The following is a 24,355-nucleotide window of genomic DNA, read 5'->3' on the forward strand; positions in this document are numbered from 1 at the left end:
TTAATGTTATTTGCTGGATAATACTCAAGAGCCAGGTCATAATGCTAATGCATGGGAGTAGGTTATATTCAAAGTCTCAGTTGTATCATTCCCACTATGTTGCAAATTCTCCATGCCCCATTCTCCATGTTGCAAATGTATTCCATATCTTGAGTGAAATGTGAAGCTTTAAAACTGGGATTATATCATATTCTCTACTTTCTGAACCATTTGTCTACCTTGAGGAAAAAAATTTCCCCAAATCCAGGAAAGAAAAAAGGAACATTTTTCATTGATTACCTATAATGTGCCAGAACAATATTGTCACATTTAATCCTTGCGGCAACCCTGATAGAGGTGATAATAATCTCTGTTTCACAGGTTGGGAAACTAAGGATAAAAAATTCGTCCGTAAGGATGAATTTTTTCCTATATCTTGGGAGTTCAGAGTTGAATCCATGTCTCATTCTAATGCCCATTTTCTCCCTTCTGTCCTGAGTTAGTTATCTGTTGCCTTTCAGGTCTCTTTACTGCCCCCTCTATGCACATGCAAACTGATTTATCTTTATTTTACACAATCTAATTCACACTTTGACAAAATGATTTAACAACAAATGTTTGCCTAAGATAAGATATTATTTGTTTTAAACAGTTTTGTATCTCCTTGTGACTTCAAAGAGTTAGTAGAATTCTAATTTGCTGAAAGCATTTCAGATTTCAGATAAGCTGTGGAGGATTAGAAAAGCATATTAGAATGAGTTGGTTGCCATGGCAGGAAAAATTCACTTAATCCTTTTTGAAGGTGACTGTCCTGAAAGGAAGTTCATGTGTCCCATCAGGTTGGGTTTCTCCTCAATGGAGAATCACCTGAGGACAGGAGAGATTGCAAATTCTCTGCCTATTTCAGGCAACTGGTGACTGTAGGGTAGCCAGGGTTCTTTCTTCACTGACTTCTTCTAAGGGCTTTAGGGGAATGTTTCTACAGTTACAGAGCAGATAGGAATCACATTTTGAGACAGTAAATTGGAGACAGTCCTCCGAGTATACAGTTGCTGGTAACAGTTGCTCATGCAAAACTTCCTGTATCTCTACGTCTTTTTGATCATATTTACCTGAGTTTCTTTCCCTTCTTTTGGCAACTTGTTGACATCATTTTAATTACCAATGTATTATTTGCCATTTCTCTCTATACACTACATACTGTTTTTTTAATCTCTAATGATACAGCTTTTGAAAACAATGTGGTAGATGAGAGAGTAAAATTTCTTTATTAAAAGAATCATTACACTCTTGGCAAAGCATATCTTCATGCTATTAATAATGAGAGGGTTTGTGAAGTTGGTTTCAGCTGTCGTAGTAATATACTATATCAACACTTTCCATCTCCAAAAAAGAAGAACACAATGTTGGTGAAGGGAACAGAAAAACAATTCTTTTATGTTTGGTCTGGCTTGACCTACATCAAGATGGTAGACTGAAATGACCCAAAATGTTGAAAGAATACTTTTGCCCAGATAACCGGATACCACAGTAAATTGAAGTAATTACAGCTCAGTAACAAAGCTGATTGGATAAAATTAGGCCACCTGCCTTCTAAATACAGAGAGGCATGTTGTTATATTTATTTTATCTTATGTGGATGACTTTTGTCTGTATGGTTGAATAGGAGTTAAGTTTCTCTACTTTATTACCTAGGTTCCCAAATAACAACATTACTATATGTGGCATTTTAAGGACTATCTCTGGATAGAGTCTCTCAAAGCCTTTGGGCTATAAGCTCTTAATCTCATTGTTTCAACTACCATAATTATTAATTGCAGGAAGTTTTGCATGAGAAACCCTTACCAGCAAGTGTATACTCAGAGGACTGTCTCCAGTTTAGGGTTTCTCAAAATCCTAAATTTTTATAATTATGATACTTGAAACAATGAGATTAAAATTAGTCTCTCTCTCTCTCTCTCTCTCCATATATATATATATATATATATATATATATATATATAGTCTCTCTCTCTCTCTATATATATATACACACATATATATAGACTTGATATATATATATATATATATATATCTCAAGACTTATGATTTATTGGCATATGTCCTGAATCTCCAACACAAATTCAATATTTCCAACACACACAAAAAAATCACTTTCTCCAAAAACAACTTCCTTTCTGGACTTAATTCTGAGAGGCACCCTTAACTTATCCCATATCCTTAACCACTCAAATTCATTTTTTAAACTAAGTTATTAAAATCTTTGCTTCCTAATATTTTTCTTATTTCTAGCATCATGACACTGGTCTAGCATCATGACACTGGACCAAGTCTTAGCTTCTCCATGATCTTCCACACATATCTCCTACTGGTCTTTTGTCTCCAGTGTCTTCCCTATTCAGCAAATTCTGCCTTTTGCAACCAGATTAATCTTTTTAAACCATAGTCCTCTTCTTGTCACTCAAATTTTCAATGACTTACCAATGTCTATAAAATGAATTATTAAGTTTGTCCTTAGGTATTGAAAGCTACTTTTTATATTCTAATTATATTCCAAAGTTCCTCTTTATGTACTTTTTAATTCCAAAAATAAAAGTGTTATTTTGAATAGTGGCCTCCTAAAAGGTATGTCAACCTGGAACCTATTAATATGAAGTTATTTGGAAATGGGGTCTTTGCAGATGTAATTAAGTTAAAGATCTTGGGATGAGGATGTTCTAAATTATGGTGAACTCTAAATCCAATGACCAGTGTTCTTATAAGTGAAGAAAGGGGGAAAATACACAGAGGAGACACCCAGGTGAAGATAGAGAAAGAGATTGGAGTTACCCAAACCAAGGAATGCCAGGAGTCACCAGAAGCTGGAAGAGTCAAAGAAGGATCCTCCACTAAAGCCTTTGGAGGTAGTGTGGCCCTTCTGATGCCTTGATTTAGGACATATAGCCTTCAGAAATGTGAGGGAATAAATGTCTCTTGTTTTAAGTCATCCAATTTGTGGTAATGAGTTGTGACATTCCTAGGAAACCAATACAATGAGTCAACTTAGCCCTCATGAAGATATGTGTTCTTGCAGATATCCCTTGCTTGAGAGGGTTTCTTTTGCTGGAATTCTCACCATATCTTTACATCTACTGAAATGATAGTTAACATTTTGAAGCACACACAATATAAAAGACACTGTTCTGAGCTTTCCCATATATTAACTTTTTAAAGTATTTAATGAGATCTATAAAGTAGATATTATTGTGTCTAAAGATACATAAGCACATTTTCCAGATAAGCTGAAGTTTGGACAGAAGCAGTCTTATTCTAGAATTTCTAGAATTCATGCTCTTATTGACTTCAAAAGTATCAAGATCAAAGCTCAAAACACACCCACTCCATGAAGTCTTTCCTGATCACCTGATGGGAAGGGATCTTTATGATTTCCTACAGTTATTCTGGTAACTACCACTCACAAAAGAGAGAAACAGAGCATAGAATTCCTTACATAGACTTTATTCACTCTATAGATTGTAAAATGCCTAAAAGAACTGACTATGCCATATATGTGTATACACACACACACACACACAAATATATATACACACATACACATATATTTTAAATTCCTTCCGCAGAAGCTGGCACAGCATTTTTCTAGGTTTGTAATAAATAAGTCATTAAATGAGTACATCTGGTAGAAGACAAATCAAAATGGTCATGTTTAACACAAGTTGAATGGAGGGTGAAACTATTTGTCTGAGGTTATTTTTTTTTTTAAAGTTTGACCTTAGATCACAGACTCACCAATGTATTTATTCTCTCACCCTTGAGTTTCCTCCTACTTTAACAAACTTAAATATAGAAACGTGTTTGAAACTTTTGGTTTTAGTACCTTTGTTAACAATAGTCTCTCTGAAGAAGAAATATAAAATAGTTAAATCTGACAAACCTAGGAATATTTTAGGTTTTTTCGCAAATAATATAACAGATGAAGTGGATGTATTTTTAATGTAATTTTTTATTTAATTTTATTTCCAAATGTAAATATACAAAAAAAACACCAAGAAAGTCAATGCTTTGGGAACACCAAATCAAAATGCTAAATTCAGTGACTTATTTACTCTGTGTAGAGATGGAAAGGATGACGCACCTCCCTCTTTTCTTTCTAGACTCAGTCATCCTTCCTGAACAACAATTTGTAGGAAAATAGAATCATTTCAACAAAGATGGGAAACCCAACCGAAGGCATTATTTTGTGAATTCTAGAGAAAGGCTTTTCCAAACTGCAATTTTGAAAGATTATAAAGTTGTATGTATGAGTTGTAAAAGTTAGTCAATACTACACCTATAAAAATTAAAATAAGCATGATTCTTATTATTTTCTTTGTTGAAATAACACAAAGGAACATTTTAACAAATACAGTTTTAGAAACCATTCATAAAGAAGCAGCACTAACAAATCTGAGCATGCAAGAGAAGAATAAAGTTATTTTCCCCTAAGATTTAGTTCCTTGTCACTGAAGAATAAATTGTTTGAAGAGAGGGTGTAACCAAGGAGGAATGAATAGAAGTCGTAAGAAAATGTGTGCATGTCTGAATGCAGACCATGCTTGTGTCAGTTAGAAATGTTCTCAGTTGCAAGCAATAGAACACTCAGGTAATAATAGTGTAAATACATTTTTATACATAATATGAAATCTGAAGGTCATCAACTACTGTTGCTGGTTCTTCAACCCACTAATACCCAGAATCACTAGGATTCTCTTAGTTTTTTCCCATGCTTCTTGGAGCTTTAGTCATCTACCTAAAATAGAGCACAGAGCAAAGGAGAAAAAGCTCCTTAATCAGAAAAGCAAAAGGCTTCCAGGAAGCCATATCCAGTTAACATATTATTATGTTAAAATGTTAACATTTTATTGGTCAGAGCTGTGTCACATGGACACCTCTGAAAAAGAGGCCATAGAGGGTAGAGGTTGGATCATCATCAAAACATCCAAAATAGTGTCTACTACAATAGAACAATAGGAAATGTGAGCAACAGGTTTCACTGAGAATTTTGTAATCATATTCTAAGGATGAACTTTCTTGAAAAACACAATTGGGGTAAATTTGATAGTATATTTACTTAATTTGAAAGCACTTTTGCAGTTAAAGCTTCCTCAAAGTGATGATATCTGTAAAAGAATTCTGTATTTTTTGAAACCCTCTAAGATATTCATGTCACTGAATTATTTTCAATGAATAGACCCAAGTTCAAATATCACCTTCTTATACTAATTCCCTGACCACATTAACTAAAGTAGCACCCCTACCAATTCATTAATCTCCTAAACTACTTGCTTATATATTTATTTTCTTTCATCCTGAATAGAGTAAAAGCTTTATGAAGGAATGGACTTTGTTTTGGTTACCACTGTACCCCTTTTACTTGGAGCAGCACCTACTTACAGTCTAAGTACTCAATAAATCTTGATATAATGCACAAATACATACGTGTGTATATCTATGTAGATCACTTATATTTCTATCTGTATCAAGATGGATCTGTCAATCATCTATGTTCAGTTTGGGGAGTTTTGCTAAAAAGTTAGTAACAACCAGCTACAGAATTTATATCTCATTGCAATAAGCTAGTTTGCAACAACTTCAAACTAGCATAATATATCTGATGATAAAACTAGTTTGTGCCGAGTGACTTTAATATGGAGTTGTATCCATTACTCCTGTCTCTGGATAAAGGAGCACATATAAACTTGACTTTATGTAAATAAAAATTTATAATAACATTATGATAAATTTTCCTCATACATGCAACTTCTTTAAAAAATGTCATACAACTTCTTTAAAACATGTTTTATCTTCTTGATAAGCTTACCAGTTACAGTAATTCAATGACATATTCTATGAATAGTGAAAAAAACAAAAAAGTTTAATTTTATAATATATCTATATTATATATCTATATATTATATGTATATCTCAATATATTATATATTTATATAGTATATATCTCTCTCAAATGTGTGTGTATATATATATATATGTATATATGCAAACACACATTTGAATATAGGACAGAGACTTTGATATGTTTTGTTTACTAACACATGGACAGAGCCTGGCGATAAATAATAAATATTGTTGAATGAAGCATAAATGAATGAAAAAAGGTGGGAATGGGAGAAAATCACTGTATTGTAAAGCCTGAGTTAATAGGAACCAGGAGGAAAATAAGCGATGAGTTGTAGGACTGCAGCAGAAAGGTTGATTGTAATGCAGCAGCAATGTGCCGGGAAGGCATGACACAGAGGACTTTGGAGTTGGGCCACATAAAAGGAATATTAGGACTGAATAGAATGTTACATGTGTAGAAGCAAGAGGTTGAGAGAATACCTGAACAAAAGCACAGATGGACAGTTGGGTGGACATTTGGAGTTTTAATGTGATTAAAGAGTGAGATGGAATTGTGCAGTAGGAAGGGCTAGAAAAGGTTCATGCATCCATCAGACTACTTTTGGCTGTGAGGAATGAAACCATAAATGAAATGATATCCCAAAGAACACTGACCTAAGCAATTAGATATTTACTCTGTGTTACACTTATATACCCACAGCAGGGATGAGTAGAGATGAGTCAGCAGCTCAGTGATATAATTAAGGATCCAAGCTCTTTCCACCTCTCCACTTTCTTTGGTCTTTGCATAGGTTTCCTCCTAGGCCTGGTTCAGTCATGACTACTGAAATCCTAGGTCTCATAATTTTAACATAACTGCATCTAGAGGAAAAAGAGGGATTCTTGTTTCTTCCCGTGGGTCTACCTTAGGTATGGTGAAGCTTGTTCAGAAAAATCTTAAAACACTTCCTCCCACATGTCGTAGACCAGAGCTGTACCATGATTCCTGAGTGGCTTATCCATTTAACAAACATTGAGTGAGGCCATACGATGTGCAAAGCATAGCTCTGGGCACTTTTAATACTACAGCATTAAACTAAATAAAACCCTTGCAGTCATGCAGCTTATACTCGAATTGGATAAACTGAAAATACATAAATGAATAAAAATGTATAATGTCATATTATGACAAGTTCTATGAACAAAATCAAAGTAGAGTACAAGATAAAAAAAAAAAATATATAACACCAGGAAGGGATTTTAAGTTGGGTGAATAGATACAGTGGTCAGAGAAGGACTCTTTGAGAGAGGTGCTTTTAAGTAAAGACCTTAGTGAAATGAGGGAGGGAGCCATGTGAATATTTGAGGAAAGCTGTTTTTATACAAGGAGAATGACAACTCCAAAGCCTTAGAACAAGAATGAGCTTGGTATGTCCCAGAAACATTGTGGAAGGCCAAGTGGCTAAAAAAGAATGAGAAAATAGAGTATGTAAGGAGCTGAGGTCAGAAAGTCAGCAAGAAGAAGAGATTGTGAAGGATCTTACAGGTCTTGGTAAGGACGCTTTATTTTATTCTAAAGGAGATAGGAGGGCATTGCAGAGTAGATAGGCATGATCTGATTTACATTTTGAAAAAAAAAATTCATTCTACCTGCAAAGAATAGACTGTAGGAGGAAAGTGCAGAAGCAAAGATAAGAGGCTACAGTAGAAGCACAGGTAAAAGAATAGTGTGATTGAAGTAAGATGATACTGACTGAGGTCAGAAGTTCAGGACAGATCTCTGGGTGGCCTTGGACCAATGTAGTTCTCATCCTTTTCTCCCTGGTAGTTGTCAAGAAAAACTGTAGAATGTTCTGGGAATGCAATGTCCTGAGGTAAGGGGGAACTAGCAGAATAGCCTAGGTTCTGTTCCGGTCCCTGAAATCCTTTATTATAATGTATCATGCTGCTCCAGGGTATAAAACCAAGAGCAGGATGTTTTCCCAAGTCTCTTAGCTGCAGTGCAAGTGGAGCCCATGCAGATGAGATTCCATCTTTTCTGTGCAACTTTCCTGAACTTTGGGGAACCAGCTTCTAATGCAACTTGCTGGGGTTTTTTGTAATTAATAAACTTGTTTCACTTAACTTGCTGTATATGAGTGTTCTGTCTCATCAGACTCATGCAAGTGATAGAAATTGGTACAACTCAACGTGTACTGGATGAGGTGTTTACAATCCCTTTCCCCCTTAGCCCCCAGGATTGATGCCAGTGCACAGTGAACTGCTTCACAGGAAGTTGTTGGGGCTGGGAATACATTGTGAGAGTAGTGAAAGGACCGACTCCAGCCAAGGGAGTGGACTAACTCTGACGGTCTAAACGAATCATTGGTATGGGAGGGATACAGACTGGACTAACTCTGATGGTCTAACTGGATCATTGGTATGGGAGGGATGCATACTGGGAAGTCAGGCATAATGTTTGCAAACAGAGTGTATTAGTATCAGATTATGAGAGAACTTTAGCTATGCGCATTTCAACAAATATTGGTTGAGTAGCTAGTATTCATGTTGTGGATTGGTGTGTCGAAGAGGCACTGAAATGATGTTTAAGGTTCAGGATGATGATTAGGGCATCCCGTGGAATGTATACCTATGATAGCTGGACTTTCAGCTGTCCCTTTAATAGGAATTTCCAGTGTTCTATCAGGCTGCAGTATCTGGGTGGTTTGATATGTGATACGACTATAGTAGTTCTCGTAGTAATGAGCCTACTCCTTCTTCTTCTTTGATATAAAATGCATTGCCCTGATCTCATAAAATGATGTGTGGGAACTTGTGCTTGTGCATCAAACACTCTATGAGCCTTAAACTGAGGCTCTGCATGTGAGGAAGGAAAATCCGTATCCCAAATTAGTGCCTATTTCTGTTAGAATAAATTGCTGGGCCTTTCAGAGTAAAGGAGCAAAATGTTATCAATTTGCCACCATGTGGCTAGTTGGTCTCCCTGAGAGATGGTTTTACATCAGAGATTTGGCATTAGTCTGGGTTGCTGGCAGGTTGGCATTTGGTGGCAGCATTTGCTAGATTGGAATCAGTGAATGGAAGCCCACGCTACTGGGCTCAGACACAACTTCCATCACTAACACTACCGCCAGAAGTGGGGGATAGATGGTGTCAAAACCGGGCGGCTTAATGACCAAATCTGAGTAGCATCAGTTGGTTAGGTTATTTTATCTACTTTTTTTATTGTGCCATTTCAGTGGAAGATACTGCTCTTACACTCTTTGGAAGGCATCAGCATGTAATAGAAAGACTTGAAAGACTTTTAAACTTTTTGATCACTATCATATATCCACACACTCACCTTTAATCCTGGTCCACTTGTTTCTAATATTGCAGTCTTTCACCTTTCAGTTATGTCCAGCCAGCCGAGCCATTCACCATTGCTCATGGGTGTGACTATAACCTCAGTCGGTTCTCTTTCCACACAAAGTAGAGGGCCAGGTGCACCATTCAAAATTTTGCCAATTGGAATGTTTTTCTCATGCTTTTTTCTATCAAAGCCACCCCTGAGTGCCAAACATTTTTAACTTGTAAACACATACTTGGACTATCAATCCATAATCCAAGCTAGATATTTTTCTTTCACCTTCATCTGATAATAAAAGATCCCTCATAAGGCCATGTGGGTCACCTGGGGAAGTTCATTATTTCAACAGTAGTGAAAAAAATGATAGTCTGTGCTACCTGCTCATGCAGTTTGCTTATAATCTTTTCTTACTTATACTTTATCTTGGGTGTGTCACTTCCATTCTTCCAATGTATGGACTATTTCTGGGTCTGCTAAATCTTATGACCTGGTAGGTCTGACAAAATGCAGCTCATAATCACTTGTTATCCTATGGTAAGATTTTCCAACTTTACTAGGGCTCAGTAGCACTTCAGGAATTGATTTTCAACTAGTATTTAATTGTTCACTATAGAAGGCATCACCTTACCCCAGAATCCTAAAGGTCTGTCTTGTGATTTTGTTGTTAGGACTTGCCATAAACTCTACCGAGTATTTTTTCCCATGTATAATACTATAAATGCTCTGCTGGGTCAGGGTCGTGTGTCAATTCAAAACTGGTGGCCTACCAGACATTGTGCTTTCTTCTTTGTGAAATGCTTCAAACCACTGTACTCCTTAAAAATTTGACTTATTCGGCAGGCCTCTGAATTTTCATACATTTTATCTTCCCTTCTCTGGAGTGGGTTTGTCTTATCAAGGCTCCTAATGAACTAGTCACTTTTTGCTCCATAGGTCTAATTAACATGATGTCTGTCATCAATAAAATAAGTTTGATTTTCAGGATAACCAGATGTCAAGTTCCCTTCGTATCATATTATGACAGAGGATACGGAGTTAACATAGCCCTGGGGCAGGACTCTAAATGTATCTTATTCTCTGTTTCATGCAAATGCCAACTTTTACTTTTTTATTTATAGAGTCAGAAATGAATGTATTCACTAAATCAATAGTCTCATAGGATGTACCTAATATTCTTCTAATGTGCTCTAACAAAGATTCTTTAAGCACAGTACTATATGCAAATGGCACTACTGTTAGTTATGTTTGATAAATTAAATGGAGATATGACTGACAACCAACTTTGCATCTTTTAAATTTTTAAGACTAGTATTTATTTCCACCATCTGCTTGGAGACATAGTAATTTTTTATTTGCTATTTTGGAGGGAGAAAATTTTAGAGGCTTCTACTTGGCCTTCCCCATTATGATAGCTCTTATCCCAATTATAGGAACTTGTAAATGAAGGTTATCCCAATTACCAAATATATCTATATCAATTATACATTGGGAGAGTTGCTAAATAACCACCATTCATACACTTGGACTCAATGAATCCACTGGATATGTTTATTGGCCAGAACTCCATTTAGTACTCGGCTGACCCTGTATGTCCATACTTAAACAGTAGGGCCATGATTGGTATGTTTAATAGTTCTTTGAAAGTATTAATATTGCATTTTTCACAGTGCACATTTATCTGAGTAAATGATTATAGTTACCTTTGGAAATAGTTGGAGAAATTACTACCGTGTTTATTTGTCAAAGCAGTGCAAGATCTTTCCTCTTGGCAATCCTACCTCTTCTTCAGACAATGAGGTTTGGTTTGAAATCTGGCTCAGATACAGAAAGTGGGCAATTGCTGTAGGCCACTGTCACGCCTGATCTTAGAGAATTGTCACTGAACTTCTGAGAAATGCTGGTGCCTTGTTCCTCAGAGGATTCCTTATGATCATCTTAAATTTTAAGTCACCTGACCACTCATAATCATCTGGAGAGTCTTTTAGCTGGATATAGTGTGTATATATATATATATATTCTTGCATGCCCACTTCCTCAAGCATTTTAATCCCATCTCCTATCACCTGCTGTAGCAATTCTAGCATTCAGCTTCACTTAATGTACTCCATCATTTTTTTGTCTAGGAGTCATTCTATTAATGAGTTTGCACCATCTCCTGGGGTTCTCTCCAAAGTAGTAAATCCTGTATCTTGGGCAAATATTCCCAAATCACAAACTCTCTCTTATCAAACTATGTTCCAGCCCCTTTGATTAAACACCTGGAAAATCTAGTCCCACATATACTCTCTGGCTTTTGCTAGGTCCTTAACCTTCTTTAGTATGTAGTCTTTTTTATGTCTTCTCAGCCCCAATAGGTCCTTGCTTGGTTATTCTGTGACTTAACACTAACAATAGACTTAGCGGATAAGAAAGGATGTGGAGCCATATGGTGGTTGTTTGGGGGGACAGTGCAAATGTCTTCTGCGGAGGAGGATCTGTATTGTCTCCAGGGGAAGGGAGAAGCCTAGACTTTGATAAGGAGAGGTAACCATTTCTTGAGGCTCAGATACTTTACGGGAAACTATGGATTCAAAATTCAGACAGAGTGTCAACCCAAGTGTCCCTATGCCATACGTTAGAGCATGCGTTAAGGCATCATTCCTCCCCAGCAAGGGACCTGACCCTTATAGCAGGCCTTTTCTGTTAGGGAACTTAAACTATTTTCTAGCTCAGTTATTCTAAAGATCAAGTCTCTAATCCTCAGTTTCTGGTCCTCAGTATTGCTTGCCCTCCTTCTACAGGAGATGAGAACTTCCCTGTATGCTACCAAAGAGGCCCTCCGATATTTATATTAGCTTTCAGTTGGTGAATAATTGTTTTCCACTTGTTATTTTCTAAAGTGTCAATTTAGCTTAGCAAGAACCACTCAATTCCATTGACCTTATAATTAACTGTTTTTTTCATGGTTATCAAACCATTGACATAACGCACCAGCCAGTGCATTCTTTTCCACTACTATGCACCATTCCAATACACACTAGTGGAACTTTTAACAACTAGACTACCATTTTGTACCAGAGTCTATCTGTACCCATCAAATTAAATATTAGGATCCTATTGCTAGCTTGATGGTGAATAAGCATATTTTCCAAATTCCTATGAATCTCCTGCTGCTTTGAATTGTTCCTAGTACGAGTTGTTACTTGTTGAGTTCTTCAGGAAGTAGACTCTGAGATGGAGTGTCTCATGCAGATCAGTAGGCAGTGTTTTGTTATCAACACCTGTACAAGAAAGAGTAAGGAAAAAAGATTAGTCATGGGGAAAATTAAAAAGCATTCCACACCCAGTGACAGCTTCAGATAATACCACAGGAAGCTCTAAAGCTAAGCCTGCCCTTAGAGTTCCCTCAAGTTGAAGCAAAATGATTAGGGATTTATACCCTTTCATTAACTATTCACTGGATGAGGAACCCATGAAAGGGACATGATCTTGGCCAAGGTGGCTTTCTACAGCTAAGTCCATTCCTGAAAGTGCTGACAGCTGAACACTGTCTTTTTCTCTTTCATGAGAACAAGTCCTTCAGTGAGTCACAGTGTTCAGAATAATGTGCAAGGTACTCAACTGGAGATACAAAGATAAATAAGAAATGTTGGGCCCTTTGGGAGGAAGACATATATCATTTTGCCAAGTCATAGTGATGAATAAAGAAAACACACATTAAAAGTAATGGCAAAAACTGCAATTATGTTTGCACCAGCCTAATATAGTGAAGAATTGTAGATGGCCCAGAGATATTTGCTTCTCTAAATTTAATTTATTTCAAATTACTGGTCTCCTTTTAATTCATCTCTGACTTGAGGTTTTACTTATCATGTGAGCTCTTCTTTATCTCGATACACGATACATTTTACCATGGCACACTCTAGCAGTTAGTTATTCTACATCTCATACCACCGAAGCTGCATTGTAAAACTGGAATAAATAAAAGAAGCCAAATACATAAAATGTGGCTATATCCTAGTGCTCAGTGAAAAGAACTCTACAAAGCAAACATAATGTAATCATGGGTCAATAAGCATAAAATTAAATGGTGAACTGCAATAGTATTTTAGTATAAGGCTTCTCTGTGAATGAAGAATTGAACTTTATGCACTTGACCTCTAGGACAAAGGATATGGAGGACTCATGACCCATGTCTGGGTACCCTCTGTCTGTAATTTCTCTGTAGTGGACCACAAAGTGGTTTGAAATGCACAAGTGAAAAGTAAAGAGAATGCCTTAGAGATTATTAATCCTGGGTTTACACCCTACTCCTGCAAGAATGGCCATAAATAAAAAATAAAAAATAAAAATAAGAGATGTTGGCATGGATGCAGTGAAAAGGGAACACTTTTATATTGGTGGTGGGAATGTAAACTAGCATAAACAGTATGGTGGTTCCTTAAAGAACTTAAAGTAGATCTACCATTTGATCCAGCAATCCCACTACTGGGTATCTACCCAGAGGAAAAGAAGTCATTCTATGAAAAAGACATTTGCACACACATGTTTTTAGCAGAACAATTCGCAATTATGAAAATATGGAACTAGCCTAAATGCCCATCAACCCACAAGCGGATAAAGAAAATGTGATGTGCGTGTGTGTGTGTGTATGTGTGTGTGTGTGTATATATATACACACACACTATATATATATACACACAAACACTATATATATGTGTGTGTGTATACACACACACACACACACACACACACAAACACAAACACCATGGAATACTACTCAGCTATAAAATGGAATGAAATAATAGCATTTGCGCAACCTGACTGGAGTTGGACACCATTATTCTAAGTGAAGTAAATTAGGAATGGAAAACTAAACATCGTATGCTCTCACTTATAAGTGGGAGCTAAGCTATAAGGATGCAAAGACATAAGAATGATATAATGTACTCTGGGGACTTGGGGGGAAAGGTGGGAGGACGAGTGAGGGATAAAGGATGACATATTGGGTGCAGTATACACTGCTCAGTTAATGGATGCACCAAAATCTCGGAAATCACACCTGAAGAATGTATCCATGTAACCAAACACCACCTGTTCCCCAAAAACTATTGAAATATTAATAGTAATAATAACAGAAATCCTGGGTTTAGCTAATGTATTCAAAGTTAAGGATGTAGGGATGTGGTGTTAATCTTGAGCCTGCAGGAATCAGTGGCTAATTTCTTTTCCTGTGGAAAGAAGTGAAGTAAAATGTCTATAGTTCTTGGCAAGCTAATGAGAGACCTGCGAAGCAAGCATTAGATTGCTGATGGACTCCTCAGAGCAAACCAACCTTAAAGAGAAGACCATTGTAGGAGCCAGGAGCAGAGAACTCAGAAATTCCCAGCTAGGACATAACCAGTTCAAGAGATCCTCTTAGGAGAGGCCAATCTAATCCTCTAATTTCTGTGGTGTAAAGAAGTCATTCTAACTTCTGCAGAGAGGCCATTTGACAAAGGCCATCAGCAGAGTGTTGGGAAGGTGGTGCCATCACCAGCAATACAAGAAAGGTGTCTTCAAAATACTTCAATTCTAATTATTGAGGAAAAGCATTTGGCAGAATAAGAACATTGATAAATCTTCAAACACTGTAAGGAAAAAGAGGAAAGAGAAAACTTGTAGAGAATGTTCCAAGAAGGATTAAATAGTTCTTTAAAATATATTTTTTAAAACTTGAGGTTTTTTAAAAATCAAAATTGATTGAGAATGCATATGCTGCTACATAAAGATCTGTACATATTATAAGTGAAAAACTACAAATAGCTTATCATGGGGATCACTTGTTCTCTCCTCCCTCAGGTCCTGCCTGCTTTTCTCTGCACGTCAGCTTTCTCATTATTTTCTGCTCTGTCATAACTTCAGTTTTTCTATGGCTTCTTTAGGCCTTTTCTCTAAGTCATATCTTTTCACTTTAAACTCCCAATGTTAAGTAGAAGACATTTAATGTTTTTGTTATTACAAATGCAATCTCATAGAAGCAAGAATCTGACAGGCCTGAGTCATCTTTTCAAGTCAGTTCACAGAGGTCACTGTTGCCTGGTCAGCCCATAGTGAAGGAACCATTTGTTACATAATTACAGTTTAGGCAGCCAGGGCTGTCACAGACTCACTTACTTTCAGAAGTGAGTGTGGTCAGAGATGGTGTTTCAGCCCATATCTATGCAGCACACTGGCCAAAGTTTTATATGATGTTCTCAGAACCCTTTGATAGTATATATATGTAGATAGATAGATAGACACATATATATACTATCTATACAATATATATAGTCTATTATATATATAGCCTCTTTATATAGAATATATATTTATATAATATATAATATATAAATATATATAATATATATTTTATATGTATATACACACACACACACTCAGGCCATCCATACCTTTATTTATTCATACACTGGACATTGCAGGTAGAAAAATCCATTGACTATATCTTACAAATAAATTATTTCTCCAAATTGAGGAAGGTTTATACTGCATCTGCTCCGTACTCCCTACCATCCTCCACACCTTTTCTGAAACCCTTTCTAGAATAAGCCTCTGATTAAAGCAGCCTCAACGTCCCATGGCTATCCACATGGATACCAAGCAATTTTCTTTAGGAAGATTCAGGTCTCACTGCCCTCTAGTGGGAGTGGAACATGCAGCAGTTTTGCTGCTAATAATAGGGGTTGAAGTTTGGATAAATGGGATACACTTTATTGCTCACAAAGAACCACGTGAGAAAAAAGAAAGAAGAGGGCTTTCGTATGGAAGCATAAAAAGGCATTGTGTATAGAAAATCCACAACACTCTGGGAAGAAAGGAAGAACAAGGAGAAAAGCCCACACGCCAGGCAGGAGCCACAAGCTTAGAGAACAAACTCGAGTGAAGATGAAGTACAGCAGGTATCAGGCAATGAAGAGTTATCTGGATGCCCAGGAGCTGTGTGGGAGCAAAGTTCTCATTAGAGGACTGCCTTATCATCACGTGAATAGGGATGTCAAACTCAGCAGTCACTCATTTTCAGTATTTTCAGACTTCAAACCACCTGCATTCAGGTATGAGTCAGATATAATGTCAAATTCATGCCACCTTTGATTTTCCCTTGGGATACTTCCCTGCAGTATCACCTCAGGTCTACCAATACCTGGAACATAATTAAATGCTTCTCAAAAGCTGGCTTCATGAGCTGTAAGATCAACAGGGACCTCTAGACCATATATACATATATATTTAAGATGACCATACTGCCCAAAGCAATCTATAAATTCAATACAATTGTTATCAAAATACCAATTTTATTTATTACAGAACTAGAAAAAGCTATTTTTAAATTAACACGGAACCAAAAAAGAGCCCAAATAGCCAAAGCAATTCTTAGCAAAAAGAACAAAGCTGGAGACATCACATTATCTGAATTCAAATTATGCCACAAAGTTCTAGTAATCAAAACAACATAGTACTGATATAAAAATAGACACATAGATCAGTGGAACAGAATAGAGAACCCAGAAATAAAACCACGTATGTGTTACCCACTGATCTTTGACAGAGCTGACAAAAACATGCACTGAAGAATGGACACCCTATTCAATAAATGGTCCTGGGAAAATTGAATTGACATATGCAGAGGAATAAAACTGGGCCTTTCTCTCACACAACATATACAAAAATTAACCCAAGATGGATTAAAAAGTTAAATGTAAGACTAAAACCTGTCTAAGTACTAGAAGAAACTCTAGTTTCTATGAGAAACTCTTCTGCACATTGGTCTAGGTAAATAATTCACAACTAAGACCTCAAAAACACAAGCAACAAAAATAGACAAAAGTGACTTAATTAAACTAAAAAGCTTCTGCACAGCAAACAAAATAACAGAGGGAACAAACAACCTTCAGAAAGGGAGAAAATATTTGCAAACTATGCATTCAACAGAACACGAATATCCATAATTTATAAGGAAATCTACCCAATGACAACAAAAAACAACTCTGTTAAAAAGCAGGTAAAGAACATGAGCAGACATTCAAAAGAAAACATACAAAGATCCAACAAGCATATACAAAAAAATTCTCAACATTAGTAATCATCAGATAAATGCAAATTAAAACCATAAGGTGATATCACATTACAACAGCCAAAATGAAAAAAAAAAAAAAAAACATACACTGGCGAGGATGCAGAGAAGAAGAAAATTTACTTACTGTTGGTGAGAATGTAATTACTACAGCCTCCATGGAAAACAGTATGGAGATTTCACAAAGAACTAAAAATAGAACTATCATTGGATCCAGCAATCTTACTACTCAACATCTTCCAAAGGAAAAAAACAAGTCAGCATATGAAAAAGGTGTGTGTATGTTTATCATTTATTGTGGCACTATTCACAATAGCAAAGATATGTAATCAACAAATCTAAGTGTCCATCGACGGATTAGATAAAGAAAATGTGGCCTATGTACACAATAGAATACTACTCAGCCACAGGAAAGAATGAAATCATGTCTTTTGAGCAACATGGATGGAATCGGAGGCCATTATCTAAGTGAAACAACTCAGAAACAGATAAAGACTGCATGTTTCACCTATGACTGGGATCTAAATAATGTGTACACCAGAGTGTGGAATAATAGACATTGGAGACTTGGAAGATTGTGGGAGTGAGAGGGGAGTGGATGATGAGAAACTTCTTAATGGATACAATATACATTATCTGAGTGGCTGATACACTAAAAGCTCAGACTTCACCACTATTCAGTATATCCATGTAACAAAGCTGCATGTATACCCCTAAAATGTAGATAAATTTTTAAAAAAGTTTAAAGAGGTTTGTTTGGTTCACAGTCTGGGTGTAATGGCTATCTATATTTTTCTTAATAGAATATTGTGGGTTATACAAATGAAGGTTACTTATGTACTAGATGTTAAGCCTCAGTTGCTAGAGATGAAACATCACCCTACAATTTTGATCTTATTTTACTATTAATTATTTTCCAAAAAGCCTCTTAATTTCCTAAGTGGTTTTGAAACTCTAACCCAAGTGAATTGTGTGCAATATTGAAAATCAAACAAAACAGGAAAATTATATAAAATCGCAGCAGTTCTCAGGATAAAAGCTATTAATGAATCTAAATTGAGACCCTCCTCACTCATCCTAAGTCACTAACAACGACGATTTTATGATGGCATGTTCTGTAAAATTGTGGTGGTCTTCTTCTTTGGAATCTGACACTTAAAATATCATATGTGGATAACTGAGATCATAATGAATTTGTGCCAGTGTAAGACACAGCTCTTAAGCAGAGAAAATAAAAATATTTTTAAAAAACCTCCATGGACTCTTGAAGATCAAAGTTTGTGCTTGTATATAAAAGATAACATTAAACTGTTATCTCTAGAGAATATTTCTCTTGAGAATCTGAAGAAAATTTTGAAGAAGATACAAATATATGTTGGTGTGAAGACATGCGGAAAAGAGGATAAAAGAATCCATGCCCAGATGCCGTTTGGCTTCATGCTCTTTATTGCTCCACTCTTATCATCTCTCCTACTAGCTCCCATCACAGGATTATTTCTATTCTTATAGTGGATCTAATTCGCCCCCTACCTCCTGGACTGGTTTAGCTCCAAGATTGTGTTCCCAAAAAACTTTATTTGGCATCAAGACTATTCTTGCTTCTGAGCCTTATATTTTGTTCAGTCTGTGCTTAACAATGCAGTCACTTTCTCTGGATATCAGTAATGAAACTTCCTTTCCTTGGTCCCCATCCCATGTTGTCAAGTCCCCATGCTATGGCTTTTGAGATTCTCAAGTCCCTGAAGGTGGATCTATTTTACCCTCCAAACCCATTTCAATGAACTGATGGCCTAGAATACTTTTACTGTCTTGGAGCCTGAGCTGAAAGCTCTCAAGGCCTTTATGAACTGCACTGGAGTCATGATCCTTGTTTCCCACACTATGACCACCAGTTAGAATCTTGTAGTGAGACATGCATTCTAGTCCCACACTCCTTTATTTTATAAAGTACCATCAAAAGTCTCAGTGTTGACTGCATGTGCCAAATAATCCCATCTTTATAAAACAGATCTAAATATCAACTATAAAGATCCAAGGAGTCACGAAAATGAGAACTTCCGATGGTGCTTTCGAAGACATGGAATGGAATGTATGGAAAATTCACTGGGGAATGAAGAAGACATGAATAAAAGAGAACCAGGCAGTGGCAATGACCAGTTGAAAATAGAGGGCACAAATATCTCATTGTTTAGATCTTCATTATGTTTTATTTTCCCTAAGGATTAGTGTGTGGGCTTGTGTTGTGGACTGTATGTTTGTGTCTCTCCAAAATTCATATGTTGAAGCCGTGTATTAGTCTATTTTTATACTGCTATAAAGAACTGCCTGAGACTGGGTAATTTATGAAGGAAAGAGGTAATTAATTCACAGGTCAGCATGGCTTGAGAGGCCTCAGGAAACTTATGATCATGGTGGAAGGTGAAGGGGAAGCAAGGCAATTTCTTCACAAGGTGGCAGGAAGGAGAATTGCTGAGTGAAGGGGGAAGAGCCCATTATAAAACCATCAGATCTCATAATAACTCACTCACAATTATGAAAACATCATGGGGTAAACAGCCCCCATGATTCAATTACCTCCAACTGGTCTCTCGATTGACATGTGGAGATTATGGGGGTTACAATTCAAGATGAGATTTAGGTTGGGACACAAAACTTAACCATATCATTCTACCCCTGGCTCCTCCTAAATCTCATGTCCCTTTCATATTTCAAAACTAATCATACTTTGCCAGCAGTTCCTCAAAGTATTAATTCATTCCAGCATTAACCCAAAAGTCTAAATCCATAGTTTCATCTGAAAAACAGGCAAGCTTCTTCTGTCTATGAGCCCATAAAATCAAAAGCAAGTTAGTTACTTCCTAGATACAATGGGAGTTTAGGCAATGGGCAAATACACCTGTTCCAAATGGGATAAATTGGACAAAACAAAGGGATTACAGGCCCCATGCAAGTCCAAAATTTTAAAGTTCCAAAATGATCTCCTTGATTCCACGCCTCACATCCAGGACATGCTGATGCTAGAGATGGGTTCCCATGGTCTTGGGCAGCTCTGCTGCTATGACTTTGAAGGGTACAGCCCCCCTCCTGGCTTCTTTCATGGGCTGGCATTGAGTTTCTGCAGCTTTTCCAGGTGCATGGTACAAGCTGTCATTAAATCTACCACTCAGAGGTCTGGAGGATGGTGGCCTTTTTCTCACAGCTCCACTAGTCAGTGCTCCAGTGTGGACTCTGTGTGGAGGCTCCACTCCAATTGCACATTTCCCTTCCACATTGCCCTAGCAGAAGTTGTCCATGAGGACTCCACCCCTGCAGCAAACTTCTGCTTGACATCAAGGTGTTTCCACACATCCTCTGAAATCTAGGAGGAGATTCCCAAATTTCAATTCTTGACTTCTGGGTACCACAGTCCCAACACCACATGGAGGCCACCAAGACTTGGGGATTGCACCCTCTGAAGCAACATCTTGTGCTGTACCTTGGCCCCTCAGGACCAGAGTTGGAGCAGCTGGGACACACAGCACCAAATCCTGAGACCACATAAAGCAACAAAGCCCTGGGCCAGGTCCATGAAACCATTTTTCCTCTAGGCCTCTGGGCCTGTGATGGGAGAGGCTGCCATGAATACCTCTGACATGCCCTGAAGACATTTTCCCCATTGTCTTGGTGATTAACATTTGGCTGCTTGTTATTTATGCAAATTTCTGCAGCTGGCTTGAATTTCTCCTCAGAAAATGGATTTTGTTTTTCTATCACATTGTCAGCCTGCAAATTTTCCAAACTTTTATGCTCAGCTTCATTTTTAAACCTCTTTCAATTCCAAACCATCTCTTTGTGAATGCATAAAACTGAATGCTTTTAAGAGCACACAAGTCACCTCTTGAATGCTTTGCTGCTTAGAAATTTATTCTGCCAGATACCCTACATCATTTCTCTCAAGTTCAAAGTTCTGCAGATTTCTAAGGCAGGGGCAAAATGCCACCAGTCTCTTTGCTAAAGCATAGCAAGAGTCACTTTTATTCCAGTTCCCAATGAGTTCCTCATCTCCATCTGAGACCATCTCAGCCTGGACTTCATTGTCCATATCACTGCCAGCATTATAGTCAAACCCATTCAACAAGTCTCTAGGAAGTTCTGAACTTTCCCACATTTTCCTGTCTTCTTCTGAGACCTCCAAACTGTTCCACCTTTGCCTGTTACCCAGTTCCAAAGTTGCTTCCGCATTTTTGGGTATCTTTATAGCAGCACTCCACTCTATGTGGTACCAATTTACTGTATTAGTTCACTTTCATACTGCTATTAAGAACTTCCTGAGACTGGGTAATTTCTAAAGGAAAGAGATTTAATTACTCACAGTTCAGCATGGCTCGGGAGGCCTCAGGAAACTTACAATCATGGCAGAAGGTAAAGCAGAAGCAAGGCACCTTCTTTACAAGGCGCAGGAAGGAGAAGTGCTGAGCAAAATGTGGAAGAGCCCCTTACAAAACTATCAAATCTCATGAGAACTCACTTGCTATCATGATAACAGCATGGGGGAAACTGTCCCCATGATTCAATTACCTCCAACTGGTCTCTCCTTTGACATGTGGGAACTGTGGGGATTACAATTCAAGATGAGATTTTGGTGGGGGACACAAAGCCTAACCATATCATACCCTAGCTCCAAATGGCATGATATTAAGTGGTGCCATCGTTGAGAGGTAATTTGCTTATGGGAGTGGAAACTTCACGATGCAATAAGTGCCCTTATGAGAAGAGACAGGACATAATTTGCTTTCTTTCTTGGTTCTCTTTCATGTGAAAATAAAGCAAAAAGAAAGCTATCTCCAAACCAGAAAGAGGAACCTCAGTAGACAAAGAATCTTTTGGCACCTTGCTCTTTGACCTCCTGGCCTCCAGAACTGAGTAATAAATGTTTGTTGTTTAAGCCACCAAGTCTATGATAATTTGTTACAGCTACCCTGACTAAGATAGCTTGTTAGGAGAGCTGAGGCAGTGGTTAGAAGGAAGGAATTCTGGTTTGAAATTGAAATAGATGGCTTAGAAAGTTTCAGGAAGGTAAGGATATTGACTGTGCAAGTCCTGAAGTAACTGAGCCAAAAGGTAGAAAAGTTAAGGGGTTACTGCTGCAGAGATCTCTAACTGCTATCTATGATTCAATATGTTTTCATTATATATTTTTTGTTATTTAATTATAAAACAGCTGAGTGGGAGTATTAAATTGAAAGTAATCTGTGGTTGAACAGACAAGATGCTGAGCTGGAGATCTCAGAGAAGACACAACACCTCGATTGGCTACTTCTAGTGTCATGTGACATGAGAACGAAGTCCTGTGAGGGTTAAGCAGGCTTATCAAAATTGGAGGCTAGAATATATAAAACTGATGCAATGAACAGGCTGAGGAGAAACACATGAGGAGGTAGTGCCAATAGTGGTTCTAAAAGAATGATCCAAAAGAAAACATAGGCTTTATCATATATAGATAAACATATATCTATATATGGCATTTCTAATGTCCTGAAAAACAGTAATAGGAATTGAAGAGAAATTTGAGAATAGATTTTAGAGGTTTTTTTTTTTTTTCAACCTGCAATGGAAGAGAGACAGTAGAAATAAGGTGAGGTGAATCAATGCAGATGCTATTTAAGTAGCAAAGTTATAATTGGGGTTGCTTATTTTCATAATAGAAATGACAAAAGAATTGAGGTGGACACACAATGTGAGACAAAAGCAATAGTTATTTTGGGGCTTACTGGAAATGCTTTTATACAGAGCCAAGGGGCGGGGGGTGTTTGAATATTGGAAGAACAAAAGATAGAGTAGATTCTATTAATGTCTGAAGTTGTGACCTTTTTCTAATGCAGAACTTGTGCTTATAAAAATTTCTTCAGTGTTCACCAATGTTTTAATTAATTGTTTCTGGAAAGTATATTTCCCCAAATCATCACATCTATTTAATTTTGCCCAGTTCTGTAACAACAACAACAACAATCTACTTCATCTTTTGTTCTTGCCTAACTTGGAAAAATTCCTAGAAAGTGCAACATACAAATTGTCTTCAGTAGTTTAACTATTTTTATACATGTTTGCATTAGAATCTGTCTACATCATAAAATTATTGCTTTGTAGGAGAGCCTGGAAAGTCATTTTTACTCTGGTTGAGATAGTATATGCTGGATCTCATATAAATATTTTAAAAAGACAAAAATTAAATGCAATTGAACAGCTGGTAACTCTAACAATTTCTGTGGCATGTATTGTGTTTTCATTAATATAGAATTCTTTTCATCAATTTAGATAATTCAATTGGTAGGCAGTTAACCAACTTGCTCAGGGTTCATACCTATTGAGTAATAATAAAAAGTTCAAACAATGAAACTGAAATTGCATATTAAGCCTTGTCACAAAAGAATCAAACAACACTACTATTATTCTAAAACATAATATTGATACAGTTGCTTCAATTAAGAAATAACTTTATGGACTGTATTGGTAATCTGACTGTGAGTAAGCAACAAAGAGGATCTAATTAAAGGACCATACTTTACAATCTTTTCCATAATACATTGAGATTAAAGCAGACTTTTGTTTGCAGGAAATTTGTGCTGATGCTAACATTCTTCATGATTTTCTTCATGTCTGAACAGGTTTATGTTGTGCAGAATGCAAAAATAGTGGTTGCATTTTGATAGGTTTCATATATATCCGAGCAATTTTCAATAAAATCTACTCTGATGGTATTAACATAGACACGACTTCAAATTTCTAATATCCTAATGTTAGTGGGAAGTGCAGAAATCCTGGGTCCTTTGTCTTTCTTGGGAGAAAGAATTTGGCCAAGAGACAATTTAGCCATAAAAGAGAATTTATTGAAGGAAAATAGAGAGCAGAGTTTATTTAAAGATACAGTACCCTTTGAAGGATGAGGCACAGCTGGCTGCTGAAAGAGAGTGAGCCAGCAGCCCTCCAGAGAGCTCTGCATTGGGGTTTTTATGATGTCAGAATCTTTTTTTAAGTTCCTACCTCGGTCTGGGCTTCTTTTGTCTAGTTTTTTCCATTTCTGC

The sequence above is a fragment of the Homo sapiens genome, chromosome 12, assembly GCF_000001405.40.
Source record: "Homo sapiens chromosome 12, GRCh38.p14 Primary Assembly".
Taxonomy (NCBI): Eukaryota; Metazoa; Chordata; class Mammalia; order Primates; family Hominidae; genus Homo; species Homo sapiens.